This window comes from Homo sapiens, chromosome 11 (assembly GCF_000001405.40).
Source record: "Homo sapiens chromosome 11, GRCh38.p14 Primary Assembly".
Lineage (NCBI taxonomy): Eukaryota > Metazoa > Chordata > Mammalia > Primates > Hominidae > Homo > Homo sapiens.
Window position 1 is genome coordinate 4,169,662 of NC_000011.10, and position 16,147 is coordinate 4,185,808.

The 16,147-nt window shown below is 45.1% G+C and overlaps 2 annotated features.

The window, feature by feature from the left end:
- Nucleotides 9,079-9,606: an enhancer, noted in NCBI's record as "H3K4me1 hESC enhancer chr11:4199970-4200497 (GRCh37/hg19 assembly coordinates)". NCBI's record gives its function as "activates a minimal SCP1, AML or CMV promoter by ChIP-STARR-seq in primed H9 embryonic stem cells {active_cell/tissue: H9 hESC(primed)}" and the evidence as "EXISTENCE:reporter gene assay evidence [ECO:0000049][PMID:30033119]".
- Nucleotides 9,607-10,133: an enhancer, noted in NCBI's record as "H3K4me1 hESC enhancer chr11:4200498-4201024 (GRCh37/hg19 assembly coordinates)". NCBI's record gives its function as "activates a minimal SCP1, AML or CMV promoter by ChIP-STARR-seq in primed H9 embryonic stem cells {active_cell/tissue: H9 hESC(primed)}" and the evidence as "EXISTENCE:reporter gene assay evidence [ECO:0000049][PMID:30033119]".

Consider the following 16,147-nt stretch of genomic DNA (forward strand, 5'->3'; position numbering starts at 1 on the left):
CCTTTCTATGCCTGGCTTATTTTACTTAACTTAATGACCTTCAGTTCCATCCATGTTGCCACAAAAGACATGATCTCATTCTTTTTTATGGCTGAATACTATTCTGCTGTGTATATATACACACCACATTTTCTTTATCCAATCATTCATTGATGGACACTTAGGTTGAATCTATAGTTTTCCTTCTGTGAATAGTGCTGCAATAAACATGCAAGGGCAGGTATCTTTTTTGATGTGACTTCTTTTCCTTTGGGTAGATACTCAGTAGTGTGACAGATAGACTAAATGGTGTTCTTATTTTTAGTTCTTTGAGAAATCTCCATACTGTTTTCCATAGAGGTTGTACTAACTTACATCCTCACCAACAGTGTATGAGTTCTCTTTCCTCCACATTCTCACCAACATCTGTTTTTTTAAAAATCTTTTTTATGATAGCCATTCTGAGTGGTGTAACATGATCTCTTGTGGCTTTAATTTGCATTTCTTGGATGATTAGCGATGTTGAGGATTTTTTCATATGTCTATTGGCCATTTGTATTTCTTTTTTTTTTTAAAATGTTTACTGATGTTCTTTGCCCACTTTTTAAAAAAATTATTATACTTTAAGTTTTAGGGTACATGTGCACATTGTGCAGGTTAGTTACATATGTATACATGTGCCATGCTGGTGCGCTGCACCCACTAACTCGTCATCTAGCATTAGGTATATCTCCCAATGCTATCCCTCCCCTCTCCCCCCACCCCACAACAGTCCCCAGAGTGTGATATTCCCCTTCCTGTGTCCATGTGCTCTCATTGTTCAATTCCTACCTATGAGTGAGAATATGTGGTGTTTGGTTTTTTGTTCTTGTGATAGTTTACTGAGAATGATGATTTCCAATTTCATCCATGTCCCTGCAAAGGACATGAGCTCATCATTTTTTATGGCTGCATAGTATTCCATGGTGTATATGTGCCACATTTTCTTAATCCAGTCTATCATTGTTGGACATTTGGGTTGGTTCCAAGTCTTTGCTATCGTGAATAATGCCACAATAAACATACGTGTGCATGTGTCTTTATAGCAGCATGATTTATAGTCCTTTGGGTTATACCCAGTAATGGGATGGCTGGGTCAAATGGTATTTCCAGTTCTAGATCCCTGAGGAATCGCCACACTGACTTCCACAATGGTTGAACTAGTTTACAGTCCCACCAACAGTGTAAAAGTGTTCCTATTTCTCCACATCCTCTCCAGCACCTGTTGTTTCCTGACTTTTTAATGATTGCCATTCTAACTGGTGTGAGATGGTATCTCATTGTGGTTTTGATTTGCATTTCTCTGCTGGCCAGTGATGATGAGCATTTTTTCATGTGTTTTTTGGCTGCATAAATGTCTTCTTTTGAGAAGTGTCTGTTCATGTCCTTTGCCCACTTTTTGATGGGGTTGTTTGTTTTTTTCTTGTAAATTTGTTTGAGTTCATTGTAGATTCTGGATATTAGCCCTTTGTCAGATGAGCAGGTTGCGAAAATTTTCTCCCATTTTGTAGGTTGCCTGTTCACTCTGATGGTAGTTTCTTTTGCTGTGCAGAAGCTCTTTAGTTTAATTAGATCCCATTTGTCTATTTTGGCTTTTGTTGCCATTGCTTTTGGTGTTTTAGACATGAAGTCCTTGCCCATGCCTATGTCCTGAATGATAATGCCTAGGTTTTCTTCTAGGGTTTTTATGGTTTTAGGTCTAATGTTTAAGTCTTTAATCCATCTTGAATTGATTTTTGTATAAGGTGTAAGGAAGGGATCCAGTTTCAGCTTTCTACATATGGCTAGCCAGTTTTCCCAGCACCATTTATTAAATAGGGAATCCTTTCCCCATTGCTTGTTTTTCTCAGGTTTGTCAAAGATCAGATAGTTGTAGATATGTGGCGTTATTTCTGAGGGCTCTGTTCTGTTCCATTGATCTATATCTCTGTTTTGGTACCAGTACCATGCTGTTTTGGTTACTGTAGCCTTGTAGTATAGTTTGAAGTCAGGTAGTGTGATGCCTCCAGCTTTGTTCTTTTGGCTTAGGATTGACTTGGTGATGCAGGCTCTTTTTTGATTCCATATGAACTTTAAAGTAGTTTTTTTCCAATTCTGTGAAGAAAGTCATTGGTAGCTTGATGGGGATGGCATTGAATCTGTAAATTACCTTGGGCAGTATGGCCATTTTCACGATATTGATTCTTCCTACCCACGAGCATGGAATGTTCTTCCATTTGTTTGTGTCCTCTTTTATTTCCTTGAGCAGTGGTTTGTAGTTCTCCTTGAAGAGGTCCTTCACATCCCTTGTAAGTTGGATTCCTAGGTATTTTATTCTCTTTGAAGCTATTGTGAATGGGAGTTCACTCATGATTTGGCTCTCTGTTTGTCTGTTGTTGGTGTATAAGAATGCTTGTGATTTTTGTACATTGATTTTGTATCCTGAGACTTTGCTGAAGTTGCTTATCAGCTTAAGGAGATTTTGGGCTGAGACAATGGGGTTTTCTAGATATACAATCATGTCGTCTGCAAACAGGGACAATTTGACTTCCTCTTTTCCTAATTGAATACCCTTTATTTCCTTCTCCTGCCTAATTGCCCTGGCCAGAACTTCCAACACTATGTTGAATAGGAGTGGTGAGAGAGGGCATCCCTGTCTTGTGCCAGTTTTCAAAGGGAATGCTTCCAGTTTTTGCCCATTCAGTATGATATTGGCTGTGCGTTTGTCATAGATAGCTCTTATTATTTTGAAATACGTCCCATCAATACCTAATTTATTGAGAGTTTTTAGCATGAAGTGTTGTTGAATTTTGTCAAAGGCTTTTTCTGCATCTATTGAGATAATCATGTGGTTTTTGTCTTTGGCTCTGTTTATATGCTGGATTACATTTATTGATTTGTGTATATTGAACCAGCCTTGCATCCCAGGGATGAAGCCCACTTGATCATGGTGGATAAGCTTTTTGATGTGCTGCTGGATTCGTTTTGCCAGTATTTTATTGAGGATTTTTGTATCAATGTTCATCAAGGATATTGGTCTGAAATTCTCTTTTTCTGTTGTGTCTCTGCCTGGCTTTGGTATCAGAATGATGCTGGCCTCATAAAATGAGTTAGGGAGGATTCCCTCTTTTTCTATTGATTGGAATAGTTTCAGAAGGAATGGTACCAGTTCCTCCTTGTACCTGTGGTAGAATTCGGCTGTGAATCCATCTGGTCCTGGACTCTTTTTGGTTGGTAAGCTATTGATTATTGCCACAATTTCAGCTCCTGTTATTGGTCTATTCAGAGATTCAACTTCTTCCTGGTTTAGTCTTGGGAGAGTGTATATGTCGAGGAATTTATCCATTTCTTCTAGATTTTCTAGTTGATTTGCGTAGAGGTGTTTGTAGTATTCTCTGATGGTAGTTTGTATTTCTGTGGGATCGGTGGTGATATCCCCTTTATCATTTTTTATTGCGTCTATTTGATTCTTCTCTTTTTTTCTTTATTAGTCTTGCTAGCGGTCTATCAATTTTGTTGATCCTTTCAAAAAACCAGCTCCTGGATTCATTAATTTTTTGAAGAGTTTTTTGTGTCTCTATTTCCTTCAGTTCTGCTCTGATTTTAGTTATTTCTTGACTTCTGCTAGCTTTTGAATGTGTTTGCTCTTGCTTTCCTAGTTCCTTTAATTGTGATGTTAGGGTGTCAATTTTGGATCTTTCCTGCTTTCTCTTGTGGGCATTTAGTGCTATAAATTTCCCTTTACACACTGCTTTGAATGCGTCCCAGAGATTCTGGTATGTTGGGTCTTTGTTCTCGTTGGTTTCAAAGAACATCTTTATTTCTGCCTTCATTTCATTATGTACCCAGTAGTCATTCAGGAGCAGGTTGTTCAGTTTCCATGTAGTTGAGCGGTTTTGAGTGAGATTCTTAATCCTGAGTTCTAGTTTGATTGCACTGTGGTCTGAGAGACAGTTTGTTATAATTTCTGTTCTTTTACATTTGCTGAGGAGAGCTTTACTTCCAAGTATGTGGTCAATTTTGGAATAGGTGTGGTGTGGTGCTGAAAAAAATGTATATTCTGTTGATTTGGGGTGGAGAGTTCTGTAGATGTCTATTAGGTCCACTTGGTGCAGAGCTGAGTTCAATTCCTGGGTATCCTTGTTGACTTTCTGTCTTGTTGATCTGTCTAATGTTGACAGTGGGGTGTTAAAGTCTCCCGTTATTAATGTGTGGGAGTCTAAGTCTCTTTGTAGGTCACTCAGGACTTGCTTTATGAATCTGGGTGCTCCTGTATTAGGTGCATATATATTTAGGATAGTTAGCTCTTCTTGTTGAATTGATCCCTTTACCATTATGTAATGGCCTTCTTTGTCTCTTTTGATCTTTGTTGGTTTAAAGTCTGTTTTATCAGAGACTAGGATTGCAACCCATGCCTTTTTTTGTTTTCCATTTGCTTGGTAGATCTTCCTCCATCCTTTTATTTTGAGCCTATGTGTGTCTCTGCACTTGAGATGGGTTTCCTGAATACAGCACACTGATGGGTCTTGACTCTTTATCCAATTTGCCAGTCTGTGTCTTTTAATTGGAGCATTTAGTCCATTTACATTTAAAGTTAATATTGTTATGTGTGAATTTGATCCTGTCATTATGATGTTAGCTGGTTATTTTGCTCATTAGTTGATGCAGTTTCTTCCTAGTCTCGATGGTCTTTACATTTTGGCATGATTTTGCAGCAGCTGGTACTGGTTGTTCCTTTCCATATTTAGTGCTTCCTTCAGGAGCTCTTGTAGGGCAGGCCTGGTGGTGACAAAATCTCTCAGCATTTGCTTGTCTGTAAAGTATTTTATTTCTCCTTCGCTTATGAAGCTTAGTTTGGCTGGATATGAAATTCTGGGTTGAAAATTCTTTTCTTTAAGAATGTTGAATATTGGCCCCCACTCTCTTCTGGCTTGTAGGGTTTCTGCCGAGAGATCCGCTGTTAGTCTGATGGGCTTCCCTTTGAGGGTAACCCGACCTTTCTCTCTGGCTGCCCTTAACATTTTTTCCTTCATTTCAACTTTGGTGAATCTGACAATTATGTGTCTTGGAGTTGCTCTTCTCGAGGAGTATCTTTGTGGCGTTCTCTGTATTTCCTGAATCTGAACGTTGGCCTGCCTTGCTAGATTGGGGAAGTTCTCCTGGATAATATCCTGCAGAGTGTTTTCCAAGTTGGTTCCATTCTCCCCATCACTTTCAGGTACACCAATCAGACGTAGATTTGGTCTTTTCACATCGTCCCATATTTCTTGGAGGCTTTGCTCATTTCTTTTTATTCTTTTTTCTCTAAACTTCCCTTCTCGCTTCATTTCATTCATTTCATCTTCCATCGCTGATACCCTTTCTTCCAGTTGATTGCATCGGCTCCTGAGGCTTCTGCAGTCTTCACGTAGTTCTCGAGCCTTGGTTTTCAGCTCCATCAGCTCCTTTAAGCACTTCTCTGTATTGGTTATTCTAGTTATACATTCTTCTAAATTTTTTTCAAAGTTTTCAACTTCTTTGCCTTTGGTTTGAATGTCCTCCCGTAGCTCAGAGTAATTTGATCGTCTGAAGCCTTCTTCTCTCAGCTCATCAAAGTCATTCTCCATCCAGCTTTGTTCCGTTGCTGGTGAGGAACTGCGTTCCTTTGGAGGAGGAGAGGTGCTCTGCTTTTCAGAGTTTCCAGTTTTTCTGTTCTGTTTTTTCCCCATCTTTGTGGTTTTATCTACTTTTGGTCTTTGATGATGGTGATGTACAGATGGGTTTTTGCTGTGGATGTCCTTTCTGTTTGTTAGTTTTCCTTCTAACAGACAGGACCCTCAGCTGCAGGTCTGTTGGAATACCCTGCCGTGTGAGGTGTCAGTGTGCCCCTGCTGGGGGGTGCCTCCCAGTTAGGCTGCTCGGGAGTCAGGGGTCAGGGACCCACTTGAGGAGGCAGTCTGCCCGTTCTCAGATCTCCAGCTGCGTGCTGGGAGAACCACTGCTCTCTTCAAAGCTGTCAGACAGGAACATTTAAGTCTGCAGAAGTAACTGCTGTCTTTTTGTTTGTCTGTGCCCTGCCCCCAGAGGTGGAGCCTACAGAGGCAGGCAGGCCTCCTTGAGCTATGGTGGGCTCCACCCAGTTCCAGCTTCCAGGCTGCTTTGTTTACCTAATCAAGCCTGGGTAATGGCAGGCGCCCCGCCCCCAGCCTCGCTGCCGCCTTGCAGTTTGATCTCAGACTGCTGTGCTAGCAATCAGCGAGACTCCGTGGGTGTAGGACCCTCCGAGCCAGGTGTGGGATATAATCTGGTGGTGCGCCGTTTTTTAAGCCCGTCGGAAAAACGGAGTATTCGGGTGGGAGTGACCCGATTTTCCAGGTGCTGTCCGTCACCCCTTTCTTTGACTGGGAAAGGGAACTAACTCCCTGACCCCTTGCGCTTCCCAAGTGAGGCAATGCCTCACCCTGCTTCGGCTCGCGCACGGTGCGCGCACCCACTGACCTGCGCCCACTGTCTGGCACTCCCTAGTGAGATGAACCCGGTACCTCAGATGGAAATGCGGAAATCACCCGTCTTCTGCGTCGCTCACGCTGGGAGCTGTAGACGGGAGCTGTTCCTATTCGGCCATCTTGGCTCCTCCCCACTTTGCCCACTTTTAAATGAGGTTATTTGTTTTCTTACTGCTGAGCTGTTTGAATTCCTTGGATATTCTCGGGATATTAGTTCTTTGTTGGATGAATAATTTGTAAATATTTTATCCCAATCAGGAGGTCGTCTCTTCACTTTATTGATTGTTTCCTTCGCTGCACAGAAACTTTTTAGTTTAATATAGTCCCATTTGTCTAGTTTTGTTTTTGTTGCCTATGCTTTTGATGTCTTAGCCATAAAATCTTTGCCTACACCAAAGTCCTAAAGTGTTTCCCTGTGCTTTATGCTTTCTTCTATTGGTTTTATAATTTTGGGTGTTACGTTTAAGTCTTTAATCCATCCTGAGTTGATTTTTTGTATAGTGAGAAATAGGGTCTAGTTTCATTCTTTCACATATGGATATCCAACTTTCCCAGCACTGTTTATTCAAGAGACTGTCCTTCAATGTATATTCTTGGCACTTTTGTTGGAAATCATTGGCTGTAAACACATGCATGTATTTCTGGATTCTCTATTCTGTTTTATTGTTCTATGTGTCTGTTTTTATTCCAATAGCATGCTGCTTTGGTTAATATAGCTTTGTGATATATTCTGAAGTCAGCTAGTGTGAAACTTTCGGCTTTGTTGTTTTTGCTCAGGATTGCTTTGGCTATTTAGGCTCCTTTTTGGTTCCAGAATAGTTTTAGTGTTGTTTTTTCTATTTCTGTCAAAACTGACATTGGTATTTTGATAGTGATTGCCTTGAATCTGTGGTTTTTTTGGGCAGTGTGGTCATCTTTTTTTTTTTTTTTTTTTTTTTTTTTTAGATGGAGTCTCACTCCCGTTGCTCAGGCTGGAGTGCAGTGGCACAATCTTGGCTCACTGCAACCTCCACCTCTCAGGTTCAAGCGATTCTCCTTCCTCAGCCTCCTGAGTAGCTGGGATTACAGGTGTGTGCCACCATGCCTGGCTAACTTTGTATTTTTAATAGAGATGGGGTTTCACCATGTTGGCCAGGCTGGTCTTGAACTCCTGACCTCAGGTGATCCACCTGCCTCGGCTTCCCAAAGTGTTAGGATTACAGGTGTGAGCCACCGTGCCCGGCCAGTATAGTCATCTTAAGGACATCAATTATTTTGATTTAAGAACATAGGCTCTCTTTCCATTTGTTTGTGTCCTCTTTAATTTATTTCATCAGTGTTTTGTAGTTTTCCTTGTTTTTTGCCTCACGATTAAATTTATTCCTAGGTATTTTATTTTATTTTTAAAAGCTTGTTTTCTTTTTTAATTGGCATATAATAATAGTACATATTTATGGAATCCCAAGTTATGTTTTGATACATACAGTGTAGACTTTTTCTTCCACTAATTTTGGTTTTGGTTTTCTCTTGCTTTTCTCATTCCTTGAGGTGCATTGTTAGATTATTTGAATTCTTTCCACTTTTTTGATGTAGGCATTTATTGCTATAAACTACCATTTAGCACTGCTTTTGCTGTATCCCATAGATTTTGGTATGTTGTGTTTTGATTTTCATTTGTTTCAAGAAATTTTTTGATTTCCTTTTAAATTTCTTTTTTGATCCAATGGCCATTCAGGGACATGTTGTTTAATTTCCATATATTTGTGCAGTTTCCAACATTCCTCTTGTTATTAACTTCTGGTTTTATTTTATTGTGGTCTGAGAAGGTACTTCATATGATTTTGATATTTAAAAATTTGTGGAGACTTGTTTTGTGTGCTAACATATGGTTTATCCTGGAGCATGTTCCATATGCTGATGAGAAGAATGTGTGTTTTGTAGCTGTTGGATGAAATGTCCTGTAAATTTTTGTTAGGTATATTTGGTATAATGTGCAGTTTTAATTCAATGTTTCTTTGTTAATTTTCTGTCTAGATCAGGGGTGTCCAATTTCTTGGCTTCCCTAAGGCACATTGGAAAAAGAATTGTCTTGAGCCACACATAAAATACAGTAACACTAACGAATAGCTGATGAGCTTAAAATAAATTGCAAAAGCTCTCATTATGTTTTAAGAAAGTTTATGAATTTGTGTTGAGCTGCATTCAAAGCCATCCTGGGCTGCATGTGGCCTGCAGGCCATAGGTTGAACAAGCTTGGTCTAGATAATCTGTTTAATGCTGAGAGTGGGGTGTTGAAGTTCACAACTCTTATTGTACTGGAGTCTACTTCTTTCTTTACATCTAATAATATTTGCTTTATATATCTGGGTGCTCTGATGTTGGGTGCATATATGTTTAGAATTGTTATATTCTTTTGCCAAATTGATCCCTTTATCATTATATAATGATTGTCTTTATCTCTTTTTATTGTTTTTGACTTAAAGTCTGTCTTATCTCTTATATGTACAGCTATTCCTGCTTGCCTTTGGTTTTCATTTGCATGGACTTTTTTCATCCCTTTAGTTTAAATCTATATGTGTCTTTATACATAAGGTGAGTTTCTTTTAGGAAGCATATAGTTGGGTCATGTTTTTTAATTCATTTAGCCAGTCTTTGTCTTTTATTTGGAAAGTTTAATCTGTTTGTATTCAAGGTTATTATTGATACATGATTTTATTAAATAATTTCTGGTGGCTGCATTGGGCTTGGGAGGCCAGTCCCTAGGCACATAGTGCGTACGTATGTGTGGGTGTCAGCTGTGGTGGTAGAGGCAGGTTGGGTGGGCCTGATCTCAGGCCCTGGGAAAGTGTTTGGGTGCCAAAGGTGATGAACTGGGTTGGGTGATTCCCATACCCAAAGATGACATGCTTAGGCACTGGGAAGGAGGAGTGGAGCCAGGCCTGGCTCCTTAGGCCCCTTAGTAGTGTGTGTAGGCACTGGCTGTGTTAGGCAGAGGCAGGTGATCCCTAGGCTCCTGGTGGTATGTTGGGGTGGAGGTGTCACTGCCACCCTGCTACTGGGGAGCACAGGGTTGCTTTCAGTGGCAGCAGCAGTAGGCAGGGAGCTGGGGAGCATGCACTTTGCTTGTGCTTTGGCAGCAGTAGGCAGGGAGCTGGGGAGCATGCACTTTGCTTGTGCTTTGGCAGCAGTAGGCAGGGAGCTGGGGAGCATGCACTTTGCTTGTGCTTTGGCAGCAGTAGGCAGGGAGCTGGGGAGCATGCACTTTGCTTGTGCTTTGGCAGTGGCAGTGGCTGTGGGGCAGGGGAGTCTGTCCTCAGGGCTTGTGAAATGCATAGTAACTGCTGCTGGGGGCACTGGAATCCGTGCCAATGGCTTCTGTTTTGACCCTGGGATCATCCAGCAGCTGCAGAGGCTGTAGGTTGGGTAGCCTTTCCTCAGGCCATATGAAATGTACTGTCACCCCTCTGTTGGGGGTGGGGGGTGGAGTTGCAAGCTGATGCTCTCAGTCAACCCCTTCCTCTGCTAACCATTGGTTTGCAGGCTGCATAATCCACTCTAACTTTGGGCAGGACTTCTAAGAGCTTCTAATCTGTAACTCCTTTTTGTACACCAACCCCAACCACCCAGCCTTGGGAAACTGAGTGTACAAGGCCTCAGCCTGGGTACACCGAAAGGAAGCAGAGAGGAGAAGCGAGTCAAGAAGCTTGAGATCTGACACAGGTTCTGGCAAGTGCCCTTGGGCCAGGGACTCTTATTTCCTCTTCCATAGAAGGTAGATGTTGGACTGGTGGCTTCTCATGGCCTTTCCCTTCCTGCATCAAACTTGTGATGTTTCTAGTGAATTTTGTATGATTGTAGTTTGGGAAGCTCTTTCATGTTCCCCAATTGACTTGATTTTTCGAACACTTGGGAGGTAGGTGGTACCAACCCACTTTACAGATGAGGGAACTGAGCTTTGGAGTGAGCAATCTCATAGCCAGTTGGTAACAGAACCAGGTCTGGAGTTGGCCCCCTGACTCCTATCTCCTGAGTTCACCCTGATTGCTGGGAGCTGGAGGAGCTTTTGGCACTGGGGGCAGATTGTTTTCTCCAAATGAGGCAGGCATGGGACCAGGACAAGCCAGGTCTCCTCTCCTCTTGCCCACCCTACTCACTCAGGCTAATACCTCCTATCCTGCTGTATCTAGTCTTAAAAATGGGTCTCTGTCCCCTCAGGGGGATCCTCTGGCCTCTCCAACCTTAGCTGCTCTTCTAGGAAAGTGGGCCAAAGAAAATTTCTGGTTTGGTTTGCATGTGTCCCCCAAAGTTCATGTATTGGCAACTTAATCTCCAATGAAACAATGTTGAGAGGTGGGACCTTTAAGAGGTGATTATGTAATGAATGGATTACTCTGCCCTCATGAATGGATTAATGCCATTATCACAGGAATGGATTCCTGATACAATGATGAGTTTGGTCCCCTTTCCCTTCCTCTCTCATGCTCTCTTGTCCCTCCACTTCTGCTGCAGGATGACACAGCAAGAAGGCCCTCACCAGATGCTGAGCAGATGCCGGCACCATGCCTGTGGACTTCCCAGCCTCCAGAACTGTGAGCCAAATAAATTTCTTTATACATTTCCCAGTCTCAGGTATTCTGTTAGCGGCACAAAACAGTAAATACCTTCCATGAGGCGGCAGGCAAGTAGGCCCCTGGCCCAGATGAGGAGGCTTCCTTTTCTCAGTGGGGTAGCTCTCAAATCTCCCATGCAGGGTGGGGGCGAATTCCTCCAGACAAGCTTCAGGGCCTTGGCCTTGCCTCAGTTAGGGGAAGGGGCCTGATTAGAGGTCTTTCAGTGAGAGGTGATGAGCGGAGCCAGGCTGGCCCCTGACCCCTGCCTGTAGCCAGGTTGCCTCCCTGCACCAGGCACCTTCTCCTCCTTAGCAGACTCACCTGGGGATCCATTCTTTAAGCCCCAAAGGAGAAAAGTCAGGGCCCTGAGGAAGAGGGGCACCAACTGCCTGATTCTGAAGAGTCTGCCCTGATCTGCCTGAGCCTGGGGTCTGACTTTGGGAAGTTTGGGCATCAGGTCCCTGTTATGAGTTGTGGCTGGAGGGCTTCAGCCTCCTCTAGTCTCCTTCAGTTGGCCCCACCTCTGGCAGGCCAGGGGCTACAGGGAAGGAAGAGCCCATTTAATCAGCTCCTGCCCTGGCCAGGTCCCTCATTTGGGGTGTTATATGCCATATCTTGTTTAAACCTCGCAACCCCTTGCAAGGTAGCGAATATCAAGCCCATGTTACAGATGAAGAAACTGAGGCTCAGAGAGGTCGTCCTTAGTCAAGGCTCAGTACTAGTAAGTGGCAGGTTTGGGACTTGAAATAAAGCGTGGTTCTGTTCCCTACACTTTTTTTTCCTGTAAGATGCTTGGCCTGGGCACAGGTGGGTGGTAGTCCCTTGACCCCTGCAGGACTGTGACATGGGAAGGGACACTCTATTCTGAGTCCATGGGGGCAGGGATCATCAGGTTGAATGAATGCGTGACTGAATTAAAGCACTTGCTGTGCTGTTTAATTTTAAGAGAGAAGGGGCCTTACTGAGAATCCACTGGCCTGACAGTCTGAAGGCCTTGGCGTGGAGCCCACCCTCCATGGCCTTGCTGTGTGATCTTGGTCAGGGCCTGCCTCTTTATGGGTCTAATGTACAGGAAGGAGAGGTGGAAACTATTTGCTAGATGGGCCTTCAGGCTGGGCATCCTAGCCTTAAGAAACTAGGCTGCAGACCCAATGACCTCAGGCTGTAGGCAGTGGGAAATCTGGCAAGAGGCATGATACGGCTCCTGCGTGTGTGTTGTGTGGGAGGGGCAGACGAGAGGCCCTCAGGGTTCGGCGCCCCAGAAAGCCAGGAGGCCTCAGGCCCCTGGTGGACACAGAAGCAACCCAGCTGTATAACCCTAGCCCCTCTCCCACCCATACACAAATTATTGGGTTCCAGGGGCTTTTTGGTCTTTGAATGAAGCTTTTGGAGAAGTCTGTCCTTCTCTATCCATGACTAGGCTGGGGCCCTGCACAGGATCTGTGGACTGGTGGCTCTCTGGCCTCTCCTGGTTATGGGACTGGCCCAGCAGCTTCAGGCTGCTTGGTCTGGCCAGGTTCAGCCTGCACTGCCCAGAGCCACAAGGTGGCACCCAAGCACCACATGTGTCCAAGGCCACCCGGGCTCATGTCTTGCTGGAGGGACTGTGCCTGAGGAAGGTGCAGCCTGTGCCTGTGGGTAGGTAGTTTGAGGTACCTCATCCTCAGACATCACTGGTGCACCCCTCTGCCCCAGCCATAGGACTGTCTGTGGGGCCATGCTGGTGTCAGGGCCTGAGGCAGGAGACCTGGGATCTGGTTCTGGCCCTGTGTGGTCCTGGCAAGTTGCTTCCTGTCTTTGAGCCTCAGAGTGCTCTTCTGAAAAATGGGCATAAAAATAGCACTGACATCTTCGTTCATTGATTCACTCAGTCAGCACATGTTTATTGAGCACTTACTAGGCTAGGGTGTAACATACAGCTCCAAACAAGTGAAGCCTCGCAGCGGTGTTCAGAGGATTAGATGAAGTGATACCTATAATTTATTTAGCACAATTACTAACATACATTATGGACTCTATATAAATATTAGCTAAAACCTTATGTCTAATTTTTGTGGTTAGTCCTATGATTATCCCTATTTTAGGGAAGAGGAAACAGGGAAAGGTATTGCCCATGGCCACACAGCCAGGAAGTAGCAGAGCTGGGATTGAATCTGGGCTGCCTGACTCTAAACCCCACTCTGCTGGTTCCCACATTTAATCTGGGGCTGTGTGTGGCTCCTCTGAGCTCCCTTTAATATTCTCCAGAGGACCTTGGATCAACTTGGGTCACTTCCTCAGGCCTTCCCCATCTGAATGCTCAGCCTCCTCCTCCCCCAGAGTCCCCGACTCCTGCAGGTTTGGTCCTGGCAGGGACTGGCTGGGAAAGTCAGTGGTCATCAAGAAGCCAACAGTGATTCAGGGCCGTAAGAAGGTCCCAGGCCCAGCTCCCTCCTGCTACCACCTGGGGTTGAGACCCGCTAGGAAATGGAGGCCAGAGCCACCTGGCCCTGGTCCCATCCCGAATGTCCATCACACTTAGCTGGGACCACTGAGCTCAGGCCTTTCCTAAGGGTCTGTGAGGGGGAGAGGGGGGAGCATTCGAGGATTTCTCTCTCAGAGAGAATGTGGGCCCCCATCTGATTGAAAGGGAGTTGTGGGACGCATCTTGAAGTTGAGTTTCCATAGCAAGCTCTCTGTTTCTGCTGAGGCACAACTGGGCTCCTCAGAGCCTCAACGATGCTCTCAACCTGTCAGGGGGTGCCCTAGCCGTATCCTCCACTCCTCCCAGCCCATCCTGGGACACTAGGTGGGACTTAGTCACAGCCGGGGCCGAAAACTATATGCCTGAAGACGGGCTCAGGTGGGTGAATGGCCTCTGTGAACTGCAGTGGGACTGGGGGCCCATCATCATATTGACAACCAGACATCTCTGCACCTTCAGGCATGCAGTGCTCGGCCCTGGCTGTGACTAAGTCCCACCTAGTGTCCCAGGATGGGCTGGGAGGAGTAGAGGATAGGGCTAGGGCACCCCCTGCCAGGTTGAGAGCATCGTCGAGGCTCTGGGGAGCCCAGTTGTGCCTCAGACCGCCAGGCTGCAGCTGAGGGTTGTACCAGCCCCAGCGGTGACAGCAGCGTATCCATGGTGTGCCTGGGCAACCTGGAGAAAGCTCTGTGCCCCCCAAGGGCTGGAAAAGTTTCGGCCACCGTGGAGAAAGCTGTGGGCCGCATGGGAAAAAGTTGTAGCTCCTCAAACTTTTCTCACTGTGAGCTTATGGCTCTCTGTCCCTGAGGTCAGCTGAGTGATTTGCCAACAATTAGGCCATAATGAGCTGGACCTCAGTGGCCTGGGAGTCTCCCAGGGGTACTTGGGCTCAACAGGACACCTGGGGCCCAGTTACAGCAGCCTGAGCTGATGCCAGGTCCAGCTGCGACCTGAGCCCCAAGGATATGGGCCTGCCCCATGTGACCACTTTGCTTGCATGGCCAAACTTTTAATGAGTGAAAATGGCTACTTCTCTTACTTGCTGGTAGCCCAGGCATGCCACCTGGGTCCTGCCTGCTCACTCCTTAAAGAACCAGCAATTTCTAAAATATGACTTGCTGCAGTTTAAGTGATCAGCTAATCAACAGGTTATGTGGGGTCTAGACGCTGCCCCACTGTGTGACCCTGGACTGAGCCCCAGGCCTCTCTCAGTCTTAGTTTTCAGCGATAATAATCACAGGCTTGGCGTGAGGCCCAGATGAAAATAACACAAACTGTAAAGTGATGGTTCCTTTCAAATGATCATTATTGTCCTTAATTATTGCATCATATTAGCCTGGCCAGGACCTTGACTCTGACCCTCACTCCTGGTGAATGAGAGCCAGCTCTGACCTGGGTGCTCAGAGGCAGCTGCGTGGCCCCTCCTGGCTCTGCTGGCCACTGGCCTGCCCTCTGCTCCAGGCTGGGCTGGCCTAGCAACCACACTGTTTATAGGTCTCTCTTGGCTCAACTATCTTTTTTTTCTCCTGCTCTGTTAACACCCTAGGCCTGCAGACGGGCACCACTGAGAGTGTTAAGAGCCCTGATATTATCAAGTCCAGTCCTTACTGCATAGATGGGAAACAAAAGCCCAGGGAGAAGCAGGGTCTGAGCTGGAACTCCTTCCTTTCCCGGGGCTTAGTCACAAGAAGGCTTCATGCGTATGCAGTACTTTAGTGTCGTCTGGCCTTCTCGGCAGCCCTGTGAGGGTAGGTAGGCTGGCACCCATCTGTCCACTCACTTACTAAGCTTGCAGATTCTAAAGCCAGACTGACTGGGTGGACATTCTGTCTCCACTATTTACTAGGCATGTCTCTGTGCCTCAGTTTCCTCAAATGGGAAAACACTAGTAATTACATCATATGATTGTTGTGTTAAATGAGTTAGAATCTATATGAAATGTATAGAACATGGCCTAGTGCAGGCTCTCAATAATTAATATCAGCTATCCTTCTGGTTATGATTCAGTCATTCAGTCAGCAAACATTTATTGAGCTCCTACTGTGTGCTGAGCTTGGTAGTGCTAGAACCTGGGGATATAGCAGTGAAGAAGACTGATTTTTGGAACTCAGTTTTGTGAAGGTGAGGGAGACAGACACATGAAGCCATAATTTCAAGACCAAGGATTTGGCAGGCTGAGGTGGGGTATAAGCAGGGGAATACAGTGGAGGGGCCTTGATCCCTTCTAGGGGGAGGGAGGCACAGTCAGGGAAGTCTTCTCAGAGGAGGCAGAAGCAGAAGTAGGCATTGGGCCCTGTGCAAAGTGCTTTATATCCAGGATGTTAGTCTATCCTCACACAAACCTGTGAGGTAGATGAGGCGCTCTTTTTACTGAAGAGGAAACTGATGGTTATTTGTCTAAGGTCACTCAGCCAGTAAATTATTAGGTCAGGGTCCAATCCAGGGTTGTCTAACCCCAAATTTTGTCCCTTTTCTTTTTCTATGAGGGTGTTTGTGGCGGTGGTTATGATGGACAGATGGGGGAGGAGGTCCTACGCAGACAGGAGGCACTCACAGGAAATTCTGGCTTTGCTGATGAGGGTGCAAACCTGGGGTTTCCTTTCCGTGGCTGG